The following is a 20603-nucleotide window of genomic DNA, read 5'->3' on the forward strand; positions in this document are numbered from 1 at the left end:
TGTGCATCTGTCGCATGTGGCTATTCCTGAGCTACATTTTTCATAGTAAACCAATCATAGTAAGTAATGCTTTCTCTGAGTTATGTGAGTCATTCTAGTGAGTTTTGAAACCTGCACAAGGAGATGTCAAGGGAACCTCCAGATTTAGGAGATGTCAAGGGAGCCTCCAGATTTAGGAGATGTCAAGGGAGCCTCCAGATTTGTAGTCAGCCAGGCAAAAATGTGGGTAGCCTGGGTGACCCATTTGTGGCTGGCATCTGAAATGGAGACAGTCTTGTGGAACCAAGTGTCAGAATGGAATCGAATCATTGAACACTCAGTTGATGTTGGAGAATTGGAGAATCCATGCTGAAAAAGATACCACATCTTTGGTGTCGGGGGGAATGAAAACCTCTCAGCCACATGAACTTCAACAATTTTCCTGCCATTCCAGAGTCAGTTCTGCTTTTAGATATGAGAAATACTAATAACACCTAAAGGCCTCATGCTGAACTGAGTAGCCATTCCTCCTCTGAGATTTAGCATGAACCACATTATATTGCAATTGTATTTATTGGTCCACCTCCCTCACAGGAACATGAATTCCCAGAAGGCAGGAATCACATGTTATTTGTATTTGTCATATGATAGGCAATCAATCAATATTGGTTTAATAAAAGGAAGAAAAAATTTCTAATAGAAGCTGTAATTAATTCCTTTGCTCTAAGCAGAAGCAAATAATGATTTCCGTAACACTAACCTGTCCTCCAAACTATAATGAAAATTGAGCTAGAGGATTTGGATTGGCCATAATAATAATTCTCTGCAGCTGGACAGAACCCACAAGGTTATATATAATATTTGAAACAATGCATAGAATACTAATTAAATTTATAATACGTGGAAAATACCAAATGCTGATGAGGATGAGGAGTAACTGGAATTCTCATAAATTGCTTGTAGGAATGCAAGATGGTATAACCACTTTGGAAACAGTTTGTCAGTTTCTTATACAGTTTAACGTATATTTCCCATAAGACTTAGCAATCACACTCCTGGATAGTTGCCCAAGAGAAATGAAAACATATGTACCCATAAATACTTGCATGCAAATATTACAGTGGGTTTATTCACAGTAGCCAAAAACTGGAGGAAAAGAAAAAAAATCAAAATTTCCATCAACTGGTGAATAAATTCTGGTACATTTATACACCTGAACTCTACGAAGCAATGAAAAGGAAACAACTACTAATACGATCAAGAACGAATGAATATCAAAAATATTAGTCTACATGAAAGAAACGAGGCACAGACTGTCTGTTTCCATTTAGATGCCATTCTAGAGAAGGCAACACTAGGAACAGAAAGCAGACAAGTGGCTGCAGGGCTGGGTCTCAGGAAAGACGACCGCCTGCCATGAGGCAGGGAGAATTGGGGGTGACGGACACATTCTGCATCATGACTGCGGCGATCGTGAAGTACGACAAGGATTTGTTTTCCTCTTTCATTGTTAGGTTCATAACTGAGAGTCGAAAACAAAAGATTAACAAGAGAAAGGCATACACATTTATTTAACACAAGTTATACATAACGTGAAGACTTCACAAGTGAAGGCCTAACAAAACAGAAAAACCTGTGTATTTTTATGCTAAATTTGGTGAAGAAGTGTATAGTAGAGAAATATGATTGGAGGCCAAAAGCCTTGATATAATAGTAATAAATTGGGGGAACTTGAGCAAGGCCTGTGTCTTCAGATTCTACTTGACAGCTCTGTGTCTTGAAGGATAGAGATGTTCCTTTCCTAGGACATAGGGAGGGCAGCCCTGAAGTGAAGGTTTTATTATCTACTTTAGAGGAAGGTCAGAGAGTTATTTTATGACCTGTTTCATGGGAGACGAGCAAGGGGAAGGTGAGAGTGACCTTTCTGCATCTGCCATTTCCCCAAGTGCCAAGGTAACGTATTTTGGGGTAGTATATCAAGAACCCCGTCACCATATGTAAATTATACCTTAATAAACCCTGACTTTAAAATGTTACAATTCATTGTTTAGTCCTGTTGTTGATATAGGAGTTAAAAAGAAATTACTTGAGCAGATAGTGAGGGTACAAAAGTGCTCGGTAAAGGTTTTCTTTTTTAGTGAAAAGGAGGCCCAAAGTCACTTTCTAAGAAAGAGCAGCCTGTAAGATGGAGCTGCAGACATAGACAAGCCAGCTGCAAGCTTGCACGGGTGAAGGTCAGCAGGAAAAACCTACCGGGACTAGGCATGTTCAAAATAGCGGCTCCATCTCCCTTTCCCTTTGCCAACCACGTGTACAGGAAGGAGCAGACAAGATGGCACCGGTCAAGTGGAAAGCCCAATTGCATAATAACGTTAGGGTGGGGCGGCCAGCCTTCTCCTCATGCTATGTAAACCTCACACCTGATATAACCAATCTGTGGGTCCTACATAAATCGGACACCACCTCCTCAAGCCTATCTATAAAACTTGGCGCACTCTGCCATTGGCCAGTCTTTCTCTTTCAGAAGCCCTTCTCTCTCTCACAGGAGAGAGAGCTATTCTCCTTTCTCTTTTTTCTGCCTATTAAACCTCTACTCCTAAACTCCTCCATGAGTGTCTGTGTCCTAAATTTTCTTGGCATGAGACAATGAACCCCAGGTATTTACACCAGACAATGTCACCGCTTCATTATTAAGTTGGAAAAATGTAAAACTTAAACATTGTCCCAAATATTCTTTTTTTGCCTTTGTTATGTTTCCAGGACATGGAAGTAGAAATTCTCTTCCCAATAGTAGGAATTTCCAATATTTTTTTGTTAACAAGAAATTTGAAATTAAAATATTGTTTACTTTTTTATGTTCTTGTCTTATTAACAAGTCTATGGTAGAGGGTGGAAGCAATTAAAGGGAGTCCCCTTCACACTTTTGTTGCTTATTTACTCTAGCAAATAAAACCAAAACATTCTATCTTCAGATATGACATAATAATCAACTATGAACCTTGGTGTGTGGGTTATTCAAGCCAGCTTCCTTTCTCCTGAAGCAGGAATAGCTGAAGGATCTCCCCAGCCCACCTTAGATGATAAGTGGTCTTGCCCTGAGGCTCTGGCATTTATATAGCACCTCCAAAAAGCACAGTAAACCTTTAGGAGTTACAATTCATTTGATACAAATTCTGTAGGGCGTCTCCTCCAAAATCATAAAGAGCTATTTCATTAGTTTAGACACTATGACAATTTCTCAACCAATATTGCCGATGGAGACAAGAGGGAAACCTGTGTTAGAAACTAAACCAGTCCCAACTGTTATTTTGACTAAATAAGGGTATCAACTTTTAAATACTATTAACTCTTAGGGCGTGTAAACCAGAGTTGAATGTATTCTAAAGAAGAAAGAGAAAAAAGAAGGAAGGGAGGAAGGAAGGAAGGAAGGAATCAAGGAAGAAGGAAGGAAAGAAGGGAAAGAGAAAGAAAGAGAAAAAAGACCAAAAGAAAAGAAAGGAGAAAGAGAAAGACGAAAAGAAAGAGAGAAAAAGAAAGGGAGAAAGGGAGTGAGGGAGGGAGGGGAAAATCCAGTAAAAAGGAAATGGTTTGCTCGAGTGGAAAAATATGGCCGCAGATTGTAAAGAATGACCTGAGAGAATTAGTGCTTCTTTGAAATCTGAACACGGCCTCGCCATATTTCAGAATTAATAGGGAAAAGAGAAACACAGATTCCTGAAACCCCATAATAATTATGTGTATTACCATCATTTATGTCCCTGTCCCTGGCAGATTTTATAAGAGTTGTTAACAAGTTAAAAGAAGGTGATAGCTTTTCACCTGATTCTCTGCTTTGCCTACACAAAATAGATCATGTATTTTCCTCAAAGCCAAAGTTCCTTCTTGACTGTGCTATTTCTGTCAACTACATGCTTATAAAACATGGAGTCAACTGACTCTTCCCATCTGAATCCCAGCATGCAGTCAGCTCCCAGCCCTCCTCTAGGGATGCCTCACACAGCCACCCCAACACCCTCCTTGCGGTTCACCCAGGATAATGCCACCCACTCTCATTTGGCTTCCCTGTCTCAAGTTTTTGTCTCAGTCCATCTAACTTCTATTTCTAATGTAATTCTTTATTACAAAAATAATTTGTGCAGATCAGTCTCCTCCAGAAAAACCTCCAATGGCTCTTTACTCCTGCCAAAGGTTAAAACCTATTTAACAGGTCAAAAATTACAACACTTCAAAACGCAACTCACTATCGCCACAATTTTGCTGCTGTTCACCTAAATTAACCCTCTAGTTCAAACTAGCTTATTCTCTCGAGAACGTGCTGTGTTCGTTACCTGACACGAACCTTTGGAAAGTGATTTTTGGTGGGAAAGATATGCTCAGAAAAAAGTTGGCTGAACTTATTAAGGATGTCCTCCCTGAAGATTTTCAGTATGTGGGGACTTCCCATTCCTCAGTGCAAGGCTGCAGGTGCTCGTGCCAGGCTAAGCCTGTCCAGCCCCACGCTCAAAGCACTCTCTCTCCTCAACCGCGGCATTCGTCTGCACCATTCTTTTAGAAATTAACATCTGTAATGGCCCACATTTGAGTGTGTGTGTGTGTGTGTGTGTGTGTGTGTGTGTGTGTGTACACATCAATATATGTAGAAATATGTAGGTTATTAAATATATATTTACATTATGTGTGAAGCAGCATCATTGTCAGTGGTAAGTACCAGGGGTTCATCCTCTTGTGCTGAGAAAATTAAGGACATGAACACATGTGGGTGGGTTAAGGAGTAGAAAGTTTAATAGGCAGAAGAAAGGAGAGAGGAGAGCAGCTCCTTGTGAGAGAGAGGTGTCAGAAAGGGGGACAGTGTCAGACCACAGCAGAGTTTATAGGCAGGCTTGAGGAGATGGTGTCTGCTTTCCCAAGGGCTCATGGATTGGCTTGACCAGGTGGGACGTTTACATAGCAGGCGGGAAAGGCTGGTAGTCCCACCCTAATCTTATTATGCAAATGGACTTTCCACTTGACCTTCACCATCTTGTCTGCTCCTTACAATACAGTGGCTGGCAAAAAGAGAAAATGGAGCCACCACTTTGAACATGCCTAGCCCAGGTAGTACATTACTATGGGCACAATTGCTGACATTCACCCATGCAAGCTTTCAGCTTGCTTGTTTATGTCTGTAGCTTGATTTTACAGGCTGCTCTTTGTTAGAAAAATAATGATTTGGGGGCCACTTTTGATTAAAAGGAAAACTTTACTGAGGACTTCTGTACCCTCACTAACTGACTAAGTAATTTCTTTTCAACTCCTATATCATATGCACTTGTGATGCTGTGAAATATATATTTGACCTTCCTTCTGCTTTCCCCCTGCCTGAGATACAACTCCTAATGTCCTTGGAATCTCTAAGTGCTGTCTTTTTGCATGCTAATGTTGACTAATAGCTTCAAGGTGGGGCTGGTCACCAAAAAGACCAAGGAAGGATTAGAGGGTTGGGACTTCCAGACCCACCCATCAACCTCCTGGGAGGGGAGAGGGGCTGAAGGTCAAGTTGAGCACCAATGGCCAATGGTTTAATCAGTCATGCCTATGTCATGAAGCCTCCATAAAACCCCGAAAGGACAAGGTTGGGGGCATTTCCACATACCTGGACACAGGGAGGTTCCTAGAGGGTGATGCCCAGAAAAAGCATGGAAGCTCCTTGCTTCTTCCCCCATACCTCAACTTACGCATCTCTTCATCTGTGTCCTTTGCAATATCCTTTATAATAATCTGATAAACGCAAGTAAGTGTTTCCCTGGTTCTGTGAGCCATTCCAGCAAATTAATTGAGCCCAAAGAGGGAGTCATGGGAACCCCAAATTGAAGCCCATTGATCAGAAGTTCCAGAAGCCCAGACTGGAGACTAGTGTCGGGGTGGAGGGCAGTCTTGGGGACTGAGCCCCCAACGTGTGGAATCTGATGCTGTCTCCAGGTAGATAATGTTGGAATAGAATTGAAGGACACTCACCTGGTGTCTGCTGCAGAATTGATTGTTTGCTTGCCATTGGGAAAAAATCCTCACACATTTGGGATCCCAGAATCTTCTGTGTTGATTGTTGATATGTGGTATCAGAGCAGAGGAAACACTGTTTGAGAGGTTTTCCCAAATAATACTGTATATTTATGTTTACACTTAGATATGTATGTATACATGATTATTGTTGTATATTAATGTTATTAAATTTATTCATATTTTTCTATTCTAGTGTATTAGTCCATTCTCTTGCTGCTTTGAAAACATACTCAAGACTGGGTAATTTATAAGGGAAAGTTTTTGTCTTAATTGACTCACATGGCTGGGAAGGCCTCAGGAAACTTACAATCATGGCTGAAGGGGAAGCAAGCACGTCCTTCTTCACAAAGGGGTAGGAGAGAGAAGTGCCTAGCAAAGCGGGGAAAGCCCCTTATACAACCATCAGGTTTCATGAGAATTTACTCACTATCTTGAGAACAGCAGCATAAGGGTAACTGCCCCATGATTCAATTACCTCCCACCAGGTCCCTCCCACCACATATGGGGATTATGGGAACTAAAATTCAAGATTAGATTTGGGTGGGGACAGAGCCAAACCATATCATCTAGATAATTTTATTAAATAGTAATCATTTATAATTAATATATCTAACTTATACAGTATATATTATGATATATAATTGATAATTTTAGATTAATATATTGATAGATTATAAAATATATGTTTGCATAAGATATATATTAATTTTTATTTTATATTTATTTGTATGTATATATACACAAAAGCATATACACACAGATATTTCCTTTATCAATATAAATACATATGTGTATACATATATGTATATATTCACATATATCCGATAGGTCATTGTTTCTCCCTACTGGGCAATAGACTTGGCATCCAAATACTTACTTACAGTATGAAGTACAAGTTTTTCAAAAATATAATAGCAGCATAAGGAACAAAAAGAAAGAGTGTGTAAACAAGTGGAACTACTGGAAGCTGTCCAAGATAATGTCCCACATTCTACATTCTTGGCCTGTCATTCCGATAATCCAAGATCCATGTGAGTCCACAAGTCCAAAGAGCAAGACATTAGGAAGGATAGCAGAGGTGCTGACATCACATACAAGTGACCTCTCTACCCCTAGTCAGGGAATGGGTGAATAGAAGAGTATTTGGAGAGAATGAAAATCATAGAATGTGACTGTCACAGAGTTAATATGTTAATACATAAGATTTATTTTTTAAAAACTTGAAAGAAAAGAAAAACGAATAAAGGTATTGAATTAAAAATTCTTGGAAAAACAAAAATTAATCTCACAACCGCTTAAACACAGATTACAGCAAATTTTGAAATGCCTCTCAAATTATTGAGTGCTTGTTCAGTTATTTTTAATAAATGTATTTAATATGGATTGTGTACAGTGAAATGCTCATTCTTGTGCTAGTAAAAGTGAATTTTAGTAAAATCATTCTTGATAAGACTCTGTATAACTTTGGACATAAATTACTATTCCTGCCTGGGCATGGTGGCTCGGGCATGGGGTGCATGCCTGTAATCCAGCTACTTGGGAGGCTGAGGTGGGAGAATCGTTTGAACCCAGGAGGCCGAGGTTGCAGTGAGCCGAGATCACACCACTGCCCTCCAGCCTGGCCAACAGAGTGAGGATTCATCTCAAAATATATATATAATTGTTATTATTATTCCTTTTAGAAATCTTATCTAAACAAATTTGGGCCAAGACTTGTTTAAAAGATGTCTGGACATTTTTCTCTAACAGCAAAATTGGAAAACAAACTAAACGTTGATAAATAAGAGAAAAGTAAGATCAATTATGGTCTGTCCCGTATGAAGCTATTTATTTAAATTTTGCTCTTTATGTATTTTCAATATTCAGTGCAATTGCTGCCACCAGCAGCTGTGTGGCCTTGGCAAGAGCCTTCCTTCCTCTGCGTCTTGATTTCCTCCAAGGTGGTGGAGACCTCAGTCCTCCAGAGGACACCTAGTTGCGCTTGCGTCTGCTGCTGCCACTGCTAGATCTTTGACCACGGAAGGTAAATGAACCCCTCGAGGCCTAGGTTTCTTACCTGTAAGGCAGGGATAATAATAATCATAACGACCTCGGCCGGGCGCGGTGGCTCACGCCTGTAATCCCAGCACTTTGGGAGGCCGAGGCGGGCGGATCATGAGGTCAGGAGATCGAGACCATCTTGGATAACACGGTGAAACCCTGTCTCTACTAAAAATACAAAAAATTAGCCGGGTGTGGTGGGGGGCGCCTGTAGTTCCAGCTACTCGGGGCTGAGGCAGGAGAATGGCGTGAACCCGGGAGGTGGAGCTTGCAGTGAGCCGAGATCGCACCACTGCACTCCAGCCTGGGCGACAGAGAGAGACTCCTTCTCAAATAAATAAATAAATAAATAAATAAATAAATAAATAAATAATCATAACGACCTCATCAGCTTGCAAGAATCAGTTCATACGCACACACACACACACACACACACACACACAACACACACACCCCACATTATACACATACAAAACACCGACAACAGAACCTTTAGAGCTGTACGTGATAACTGTATTGTTTTCACCTTTAAAATGAGAAGCTTAGACAGACAGAATCTGAGAGCTCCCTTTCAGTTTTAAATTGTTTATTTTTGTTTTAAATTTTGTTTCTCAGACCTCTCAGGGATGAATACAATTTTTAAACTGGGGGAATTTTAATTACTGATTGGGGTTATCATATTTAGATGGTTTGATAAAGAATTAAACTTGCAGTTCTAATTTAAAAATTGAGAAGGTATCCTGTTTCTACTGGTGAAGACATGAAACCTTAGACCTGAACAGAGGATGCCATCGTGTATACACCAAACAAGAACCAGAGCAGCACAGCTCACCTTGGGGCCACTGACCCAAACAAAGGAAAAGGGACCTGCCTGCAGTCATCGGCCTCAGCGACTGGCCCTACAAACCTCAAATTTTGAAAATGCTATCACTCGGAAAGTGGCCTATTGGGCAAAACAGAAGATTGGCCTCAGTCACATGGTAATATTCTCTTTATTGTGCCATCACACCTCAAAGAAATGAGTTTAGTTCCATAAAGCTATGTAACTAATGAAAGCCATTTTCTGGCTGGCCAGTAAGATAAATGGCTGATTGGCACATACAAGGTATCACCTGTACCTTTCGCCACCATCACTCTCGTGACAAAATATCTTCAAAGTGGTTAATTTGCCAGTCAGATATTTAGTTTGATTAACTGTTATAAATGAGTTAAAAGCACACTGCAGTTCACTTTTCTCATACATTATTTTTCCTCCAACCCTATTGCTGTACCTTCTGAGACATGCTGATTGGATTCATTCTCTTTTGCTAAACAGGACTGCCCAAAATTTACTAGATGCTGAAACAAGAAGAAAATAGACTATTTTAGAAGAATTGAAGCAATCAAATATTTGCTCTGGCAAAGGAAAAGCTTTTTACCCAAAATATTAGTTTTGCACTAACTTCAAAGCTTTGCTTTGCTTCCTTCTCCTTCCCTGCCCTCTCCCTCTTCCCACCTCCCCTCACCGTAGACAGACAGACAGACACGCACACACACACTTTCTGGGCAATAAAAGCACACAGAAAATAAAAATAAAGGTTCAAAATGTGTTATCTCAACACTAACAATATGTGTGATTCCCGAAAAAGGCAGGTGTTGGGACAGAAACAGTGCTGATGCTTTCAAACTTGAGTCTGTGTCACCATAGGTGAATCTGGGAAAAGATGCTTCCCACCACCAAAGAGAATGCCAGGAAACAGCCAGTGTCTCCGTGGGCACGGTGGGTTCTAGCTGTATTCTCAGAGCCTTTTTCCCTCCATGCACAGAAACATTTCATAAAGAATAAGCATGAATGGAAACAACAACAGTGGTTGATAGTTCCTTCTGTTATTTGCCTCTTCTTTTTGCTATCAGTTTAAGATGGGAAAGTCTACCTACATTTTTAACAAAATATCAGTAGAAAAAAAAAACAACAGAAAAAGAAACAGAGTTCTCTCCAGCCTCTCAGAAGGGCTGCAGTGACTGGCATAGTAAATTATGGGAAAGTTCCACATTGTGGCTCAGCATGCCCAAGAACAAAGCCATGGACAGTTTTTCACAAGAGAAATCTCAGGGAATAGGAGCAGATTATATAGCACAAAACATGCCACAGCCTCAACAATGTTTTGAGCCCTGAAACAAGTAACAGGACAATAGGGTTGTTGGAAAGTTTAGAGTCTAATCTTGATTCTAAAACATGTGATATGGTCACGTGCCCCATGACGTCTCAGTCGATGACAGACCACATGTACAACAGTGGTCTCGTAAGATTATAGTACTGTATTTTTATTGTACCTTTTCTATGTTTAGATACACAAATACTTACCATTGTGTTACAACTGCCTACAGTATTCAGTACAGTACCCTGCTGCTTGCAGCTTAGGAGCAATAGACTTTATCATACAGCTTAGGTGTGTGAGAGGCTCTACCATCCTGGTTTATGCAAAGACACTCTATGATATTTGCACAATGACGAAATCACCTAAGGACACATTTCTCAGAGCAAATCCTGGTCATTAAGCTACACATGACTGTATATAAGCTGCAGTGTGCGACTGACATGTCTCTACCAATGATTAACTATTCTTCAATGGAGAGCAACATTCCAAGAATTAAATTGTAAAAGCCCGTCTAATAACAAGTGTTCTGTATTTCTGAGACAATTCTGTCTTTGCCTCCGAGAAATGGCTACTTCACAAACTCCCGTAACGGAAATTTCACAGGTGAAAGGCGGAGCTAGCCATGAGCACAGCCAGGATCCATTTATGTCAATTAGGAAGTGGGTTAGCAGCCCAGGTGAAACTGGATACGAGTGAAAGGACTAGATGCAGTACACTAGAATTCTCCTCTCTGACCCGTGGACCAGGAAGAATCCCTCTGCACTGTGTAAATATGTGAAATAACGGGAAGACCAAAGAGGAGTCCCCTCGGAGTCCCGTGCTTGAAGCCAGCTGCTGGATAGCCAGACACCGTAGCTTACTGTGGACGAGCACTCCATCCCCAGATGAAGAAAGAGGGTGCACTGCATAAGGAGACGCTGCTGATTAGACTTCAGAGGAAATTCTTTATCAGAGGTGCGTATACATAAAGCGCAAAAATCACAGAGAATATATAGGCTCAAGAGAGAAGTCCTGAGGACCCATTTTAGGGAGAATTTTTCAAGTAGAGGAAGAGACAGAATAGGATCAAATGGGGGGACGAAATGTGTTTAAATGATTCGGAGAGAAGAAAAATCAGCCAAGGGAGACGTCAAGGAGAAAAATAAGGCAAGTAGCACAGCACTGTGATGATGACAATGCTGAAATGGGAGGAGGCTGAGGGCGGTCCAGACAAGCCACATGCTAACGAAGGCAGGAACGTGGCGGGGTGAACAGATGCTAAGGAAGGCGGGAGCGCGGCGGGGTGAACAGATACTGACGAAGGCGGGAACGTGGCGGGGTGAACAGATGCTGACGAAGGCGGGAGCGCGGCGGGGTGAACAGATGCTAAGGAAGGCGGGAGCGCGGCGGGGTGAACAAATGATAACGAAGGCGGGAGCGTGGCGGGGTGAACAGATGCTGACGAAGGCGGGAGCGCGGCGGGGTGAACAGATGCTGACGAAGGCGGGAGCGTGGCGGGGTGAACAGATGCTGACGAAGGCGGGAGCGCGGCGGGGTGAACAGATGCTGACGAAGGCGGGAGCGTGGCGGGGTGAACAGATGCTGACGAAGGCGGGAGCGCGGCGGAGTGAACAGATGCTAAGGAAGGCGGGAGCGCGGCGGGGTGAACAGATGCTGACGAAGGCGGGAGCGCGGCGGGGTGAACAGATGCTGACAATGGCGGGAGCGCGGCGGGGTGAACAGATGCTGATAATGGCGGGAGAGCGACGGGGTGAACAGATGCTGACGAAGGCGGGAGCGCGGCGGGGTGAACAGATGCTAAGGAAGGCGGGAGCGCGGCGGGGTGAACAGATGCTGACGAAGGCGGGAGCATGGCGGGGTGAACAGATGCTGACGAAGGCGGGAGCGCGGCGGGGTGAAGAGATGCTGACGAAGGCGGGAGCGTGGCGGGGTGAACAGATGCTGACGAAGGCGGGAGCGCGGCGGGGTGAACAGATGATAACGAAGGCGGGAGCGCGGCGGGGTGAACAGATGCTGACGAAGGCAGGAACGTGGCGGGGTGAACAGATGCTGAGGAAGGCGGGAGCGCAGCGGGGTGAACAGATGCTGACGAAGGCGGGAGCGTGGCGGGGTGAACAGATGCTAAGGAAGGCCGGAGCGCGGCGGGGTGAAGAGATGCTAAGGAAGGCGGGAGCGCGGCGGGGTGAACAGATGCTGACGAAGGCAGGAACGTGGCGGGGTGAACAGATGCTGAGGAAGGCGGGAGCGCAGCGGGGTGAACAGATGCTGACGAAGGCAGGAGCGCGGCGGGGTGAACAGATGCTAAGGAAGGCCGGAGCGCGGCGGGGTGAAGAGATGCTAAGGAAGGCGGGAGCGCGGCGGGGTGAAGCACAAGGATGTGACTGAGAAGACGACGTCGCTGTTGGAGAATATGGTGACTTTGACTGAGAAGGCGACGTCACTCTTGGAGATTATGGAGGCCGTGAGGGCCGTCCAAACACAACAGTTGCTAAAGAAGGCAGGAGTGTGGTGGGGTGAAGCACAAGGAGGTGACTGAAGGACGACGTCACTCTTGGAGAATATGGTGACTTTGACCGAGAAGACGACGTCGTTCTTGGAGAATATGGTGACTCTGACGGCTGAGATTCTGTGATGCCCGGGAAGCCGTGCAGCTGCTCATTCTCATTGTACATTTATGAGAAAAAAGCAAATGAAAAAAAATTAATCCAGAACTTACTTAAGGGAACACAATATGGTAGAATCAGCCAAAAACCTACATTTAAAGTATAGGAGAGTAAGTTGTAATGGTGGACTTGAAATAGTAAGGAAAGCCTGTATTATCATCTGTTTACTAAAGCAGAAAGGGAGTGTAACAATAATTTTTAAATATCAATGAAAAATCCTTGGAAAAACATATCAGTGCCAGTGTTGAGACACAGTCAGAAAAATAGGTCACCTCAGACGTGTGAATAGGTTCAGCAAAGCCTAACAGAAAATTCTGTCACCTCATAAAGTACTTTTCAATTGCAGAGGTCAAAGTGCTTCCTACATTTAGTACATGTGTGGGCATGTGTGTGAGCATAATTTTATATATATTACATATATATAACATCTTATGTTCTATTCCTATGAAATAGAAAAGAGATATAAAAACAAAGACATTAAAAGACTTAATTAACCAAGGATTCACAAATGACAATTCCTGGGGGGTTCTGGAGCATGGAGATTAGGAAGAGAAGTGACATGTAACATGACACAAGGGATTACGAAAGGCAGATAATATGAGGGAAAGTCGTGAGGGAGCTGGATTTATTATCCTGAATTAGAAAATAATGCAGAGTCTCAAAGTATCCATAAAGGAGAAGCTCCTCCCGTGGCAAGTGTGGTTTCCCATGCAGTGGGGGAGGCCCTGGCCCTGGCCCTTCATTCCTCCCATTCCCTACCTGGTGGGCTCTTGAAGACATTCATTCTCACTTCCCCATTCCCCTTCCCTTAAGGGGCCCTGAGGGGTGAGGGGAAGGCCAGACCTGTACTCTGTACATTACAAGTACCCACCTCTCTCTCTCTTTCTCTCTTTCCTTCCTTCTCTCTCTCCCCATTTTTAGCACACAGTTTGTTCAGACTCCTGACCCCCCACCACCAGTCACAGGCGTGGCATGGCATAGCCTCATAGATTAATTACATTCATCCCCACTAAATTCTGCATTGTGCTCTGTGTGACAATCAATATAATAATGTGCTTATATTCTTAGAAGTTTTATACTCATGACAAATAAGATATTAATAGGAGTGGCTTCTGAAATCTGTGGTTGCACATCACAAAATACATCTGCACTTCCCCCGTTGTTAGTTACGTCTAATGATCTTTCCATGGTTTAAGTGAGCATTTCTGTTGGTGTTGGCATTGGGGTTAGAACAGAATCAGCTACTCCCTTACAGTGACCAAAGTCAGACATGCCTGTATTTGAACCCATATCTGCTGCTTTTTAGCTCTATGGCCTTTAGCAAGTTATTTAATCTCTAAATTCTTAACCAGATTTCTCAACCAATTGCAGCTCACTAAGTTGTAGCAAGAATTAAATGAGCTAATCCGAGGGCACCGCTGTGTCTGCCACCGAGTATGTATGTGAGTTCTGTGCACGTCATGATGGTTAGCTGCTTACGTTCTTCTTCTTATTTTCCGTGACTGTCTCCTAAATCATACAGTGACAGTCGCTCTGGGATTCCTGGGGGTTTCCAGCAGTGTCTCCCTGGTGAATGATAAACTTCAGCAGTTAGGTGAAGTGCTTGGTAAGGTAAGATGGAAGCTTGACATGAAAAAAAGTTTTGCAAACATCCCCATAGTGGAAAAATAAGACCAGGGAAGAAGCTGCTAATTAGCCAGAGGTGCAATGATGTATCATGACTGTCAAAGCAAAGGAGCGAAGTCGGAACTATTTTTGCTGTAGAGATAGCCAGCCTTCAGGAAGGGCCATGTTTCCCAGTAATTTAATCTGAAAGACATAAATCATGACGAAAATCTCCCTGCATTAGTAATGGAGAGAAATACCTGCATTCTAGCAAGGTTTGCATGATAAAAGACAGGTTTTCATACATCTGAGATCAGGAAAAATAATTATCAATCAAAGATAACCCCCTGCATCCTCGTTTGAAGTGAAATTGGAGGTCAGCGGAGGCCAAGTAAAAGAGAGGACTGGATTGTCTCTGCAATTTTAAGGAGCTCATTACTAGAAATGCTGTTTTACAAAGTTTCAGCTGTATGTGATTTTGAAACATTAATGATTTAATGCCTGCCAGACAAAGAAAGGGAAGGGATGTCAAAAACCAAAAACAGGTATAACTGTATCATTGGCATGAAAATGGAGGCTGACATCATAATGATGAGAAATCACCCCAGGGCCAAAGTATGCCAACTGAAATCATGGCCAAACACAAATCTCCTGGTGCTTTGGAAGAATGCAACTGGAAATTGATAAGAGCAGAGGAATCTGTATTATCTGCTTCCCAGAGAATTGGGAGTTCACAGAGAACAAAGTCAGTGGCCCCAGCAGAACCCTTTGCTATGCAAATAAGCTGGAACACTTACCCGAACACACTCTCTAAATCAAGATTACCTGTAATTCCTCTGTGCTGCAGCCTATAGGGCTGTAGAGGCTTAATCATATTTATTACCTAACCAATGAACCATGGGCTGTTTGATCAGAAAGTAAATTTTGGCCCCACCTCACCATTCCTACAACATCATGCAAGACCAGTGAAGTCCTGAGAACCTGGAAAGCCCTAATCTGCATTCAGTGACTGGTCTCTGACCATTTCTTTTGCCCGCACAACTGAGTAATGGAGGGACAAACAGCTTAAATTGTTAGCAACTACTAGACTATAAAATTCTTACTAAACAGTCACTTTCTTGAAAGCTCAGACCATTTTTTATTCAATTTTTGCAATTAGTAGAATTTGTCTCCCTGGTGGTTTCTCAATTAAGATTAAATAGGGCCCTCAAAGATGCTGGGGAGAAAAAACGAGAAAACAAAAAAATTAAATGGGGAATGAAGAAAAGAAAGGAGAAAATGAGAAAAGAAATAGGGAAGGGAGAAAGGTAAAAAATAAATGGCATGCCAATCATTAACTCTAAAATCCAGGTGGAGAGATATATCAAACCAGGCAGGCAGGCCAAATTAGTCAGAGCAATGTTTGCTGGCCACTATAACAAGCAACCCAAAATCTCAGTGGCTTAAAATAAAACTTACGTCTTTCTCATTCGAAGTCATTGTCCCTTCAGTGGCCCTACTTGGTGGGTCTCCTCCGAGTGGTAACTCAGAGATAGGAGCTGCTTCCATACTATAACTCTGCCACCTGGAACATGTGGGTTCCTGGATTCCCACAGGAGGAAAGAAGAGAGTCGTGTCTTATGGTCAACTCTGGAAGTGGCCAGCGTTCCATCTACACAGCACTGGTCAGAACATGGTCATAGGCTCCCAACATCACCCATAAGGGAGTCTGGGAAATGTAGTCTTTTCAGGTTTCCAACAAGTGGGGGCCACGCGATGAGGAAAACAAGGAGTTCAATTCTGGACAAATCAATCGGAATCGACCACTCTTGTCACACAGGAGCACACAATCTGTGTGAGCCGACAGGAAAGGCTCCATGAAAATAAGGGACTCGAGCATGAAGAAGAAAGGCATCTACGCGGAGGGTACTGTATGAGCAGAAATTTGGAGGTGATTGGTGCAGGTGGAGCTGAAGGACAAAAATTAGTCTCATCTGCCTGGAGCAGAGTTTCTGAGGAGCTGAAAAGAGTGATAGAAGACCAGATAAGTCAATTAGACAGATTGGAGAGGCTATTTCATGCCAACCAAGGAGATTTTTGTGGCAGGCCAGGTGTCACTAACAGCTGAACAGGCAGGCCTCCGTAACAACTGTCTCAGCCCTGACTGAGTGTTGAGCTACATACTGAAAGCTGAGAGAGCCAGTGTCCTTATACAAAGGCTGGAATGCAACCAAAGCCCACCAGGAGGTTTGCCCAGGCCTCTCCCAGGTCTTGAAGCGTGACAAGATAATGAAGGAATTCTTAACAGGACCTGTTTAGGATTAAACAACTTGTTATTGGGGGGCTGAAGAAACTCCCCAGACTTCCACAAAAATGTTTTATTGGGGGTCTAAAGGAACTCCCCAAACCTCCATGATTTAGCAGGAGACAGGATAAATGTAATCACCCCCAGGACCTGGACCCGTCTAGATTAAGTCAATTTACTGAGGCTGCAGAGGAAGGGCTTCAAAACTCAGATCTTAGTTACAGATTAGAGTAAGTTAATCACTTATGTCTTTACACGAATGCACACGTACACACAGACATATAGCTTAAAAGGTATATAAGCTCTGTAAACCTTGTAATTTTTGGTTAGTCTGGCAATATTTTCCAGGCCTTCTCCCTGTACCCGGTTACAGAAATAAGCTCTCTTCTTTCCCAGTTTATCAGCATCTCATTATTGGGCCACGAGAATAAGCAGCCAGACTCTCAGTTTGGTCTGGGAACAAACGGACTTATCCCTGTAGGTAATAAAATGCCTTTGTCCATAGCTCCTGGCTATGAGCAGTGAACGAGGCCAAGGTTCTGCATGGCCCATTGAAGAGGAGACACTACTGGCAACAGCAAGCCAGGCAGGCTGCTCTCCAGGTGCTAGGTACCAGTCTTGGCCTCAATCCTTAACTATCTGTGTGAATTGGACAAGTCCATCAGTTCCTTGGTGTCTCAGTTGATTCATCTATAAAATGAGGAAAATAATGTGTAATGTGTAAGAAAGCTCTGTGGATCAATGTTTAAAATACGTGAGAGAAACACCAAAAGCAACACCAAAGCGTGCAGTCATGGAAGTCATGACTTCAGCGTGAAGTCATGATTACTGAATCAGTGAGGAATAAGGGTGGAGGGTGGGGTCACGGAGATGGAAACACCAGTGGAATAAGGGTGGAGGGTGGGGTCGTGGAGATGGAAACACCAGTGGAATAAGGGTGGAGGGTGGGGTCACGGAGATGGTAACACCAGTGGAATAAGGGTGGAGGGTGGGGTCATGGAGATGGAAACACCAGTGGAATAAGGGTGGAGGGTGGGGTCGTGGAGATGGAAACACCAGTGGAATAAGGGTGGAGGGTGGGGTCGTGGAGATGGAAACACCAGTGGAATAAGGGTGGAGGGTGGGGTCGTGGAGATGGAAACACCAGTGGAATAAGGGTGGAGGGTGGGGTCGTGGAGATGGAAACACCAGTGGAATAAGGGTGGAGGGTGGGGTCGTGGAGATGGAAACACCAGTGGAATAAGGGTGGAGGGTGGGGTCACGGAGATGGTAACACCAGTGGAATAAGGGTGGAGGGTGGGGTCATGGAGATGGAAACACCAGTGGAATAAGGGTGGAGGGTGGGGTCGTGGAGATGGAAACACCAGTGGAATAAGGGTGGAGGGTGGGGTCGTGGAGATGGAAACACCAGTGGAATAAGGGTGGAGGGTGGGGTCACGGAGATGGTAACACCAGTGGAATAAGGGTGGAGGGTGGGGTCGTGGAGATGGAAACACCAGTGGAATAAGGGTGGAGGGTGGGGTCATGGAGATGGAAACACCAGTGGAATAAGAGGTAGAAGGTGGGGTCGTGGAGATGGAAACACCAGTGGAATAAGGGTGGAGGGTGGGGTCATGGAGATGGAACACCAGGGGAATAAGGGTGGAGGGTGGAGTCATGGAGATGGAAACACCAGTGGAATAAGAGATAGAGGGTGGGGTCGTGGAGATGGAAACACCAGTGGAATAAGAGATAGAGGGTGGGGTCGTGGAGATGGAAACACCAGTGGAATAAGAGGTAGAGGGTGGGGTCGTGGAGATGGAAACACCAGTGGAATAAGGGTGGAGGGTGGGGCCATGGAGATGGAAACACCAGTGGAATAAGAGGTAGAGGGTGGGGTCGTGGAGATGGAAACACCAGGGGAATAAGGGTGGAGGGTGGGGTCATGGAGATGGAAACACCAGTGAGGCACTAGGGATACATTCACATGATTTGGAAATGCAAAGACATGGAAGACAGAGCACAGAAAGAAATGACAAGCAGCTCCAATTTCTGAGTGCAGGTAACTGAAAGAATGATGGTATCACCGAAAAAATAAAGTAGTTGTGTGGGGGCTCACTTGACGGGGAAGACAAGGAGTTCACTTGTGCACAAATCAATCTGAACTGAAAGCAAGGAACCAACCGTGCTCTAGGGAGTAAGAGATACCCAACCAAAACTCAGGAAGTGATTGCCATTTAAGCTCAGCTTCCGATCAATTCACATAGTTAAATCCACATGTGAAGTAAGCTTACAATCACTTTCCGAATTTTTATTACTCTAATATATATTTAAATTAACTGCAAATAATGTTTTTAGTATCGGAATGTATTTATACCCTTCCTTTTTAAATACACAGGAGTTAAACATCTCAACGAATATCAGCATTGGAAGAAAAAACTGTTTGCAATGGAAAGGAAGAGCAATGTTCCAAATCTACTTGAGTTACAGAAAATCAAACTTCTCCTCAGGCCTTTCCTCCAGCAAAACATTCCTGTCGACAAAACAAGCTGGAAAGTGTGGGGCTGGGTTCCTGCTCCAATCCTTCCAGCTTTTTAGAACCCAAGAGACTCAGCTCACTTCCCAGCGCCACCAGCCTTCCTTGGATGTTTTCCACTCTAGTTGGGTTCAGGCCGGCAGTTTCTCCACATTCTTTAGCTCTCTGTTTTATTTCCAACATACTCCAGGCTGGTTGAGAAAGGGGAGAGGGGAGCCTCATGCTGCCCACTGGGTCCCCTGGGCAGGGCACACACACCTCTATCAAAGGGTCACTGATTCCTGGGAATTCCAGCCAATGACAGAACTAGGTGGTCTTAATTGCATTTGAAAATAAGACTAGAGAGAACAGAAAGAACAAATAAGACAAGGTAAATGAAATGCAAAAAAAAAAAAAAAAAAAAGAAAAGAAAGAAATTTCACAGGATTTTGCAAACTTTTGTTAAGCATTCGAATTCCAAAACCCTCAACCAAACAAAGCTTTCACAGCTATTTGTGCCTCAGGCTTATTTCCTAATTCAAAGCTGTAATGGGATCAGGTTAGTAAGAGCCTGCAATGGAAAACTGAAGCACAGTGCAAACTGATCTCTCACACTGTCGCTAATTTATCTTCTAAGACATTTGCAAAAACTCTCTTCACTGACTCCAAATATTGTCTGTATGGGTGCTTGGTATCAAACTGTGAAATGGCTCTGTTATTAAGAAGTGCAACTGTTAATCTCAGAAGAGTGAAAGCAACCTGGCCCATCTGCATGGAGCGCTAACACAGTGCCCGGTACAATTCAGGCGGACCCCTTCTCTGTCTTACAAACAAGGTATGGAAAAGAACAGCTTGCCCTAGAAAAAGCAGACATTCAAATGGGAGGCTCACTCAGCCTTTCAGCTTCCTCTGCCTGCGGCATCTTGGAGAGGCACATGCCCAGAGGGAGCGTTGGGCTAGATCATGGTTTGCTGGGCTGAATGCTGGAGGATTTGAAGCAGGCCCAGCTGGGAGGGAGAATTAGGAGCAGTCGGACCCTTCATGCTGGTCTGAATCCAACCAGGCTTGACTGAATCACAGGCAAAGAAATGACTCAAAGACCAGCACCAACTCCAAAGACAGAGGTTCTGCTGCAAGGACAGGTGAGCCCGTGGCTGAACCCCAGGCAGAAGCCAGAACACAGCCGGGCGAGTCTGAGACAGAGTGGAGGCTGTCCCGAGCTGCAGGTTAAAGCATCACTGGGGTTTGCCTGGCTTGTCTTCATTGTTCAGAGGGCACAAAGGTGCAGGATCAGGGCAGACATGTAGGGAACCTTTGTCTGCAGCAGAAAGTCTTTCCCCACCCCCCATTGCTCTACTTCC

Source organism: Homo sapiens, chromosome 4 (genome assembly GCF_000001405.40).
Source record: "Homo sapiens chromosome 4, GRCh38.p14 Primary Assembly".
Classification (NCBI taxonomy): Eukaryota; Metazoa; Chordata; class Mammalia; order Primates; family Hominidae; genus Homo; species Homo sapiens.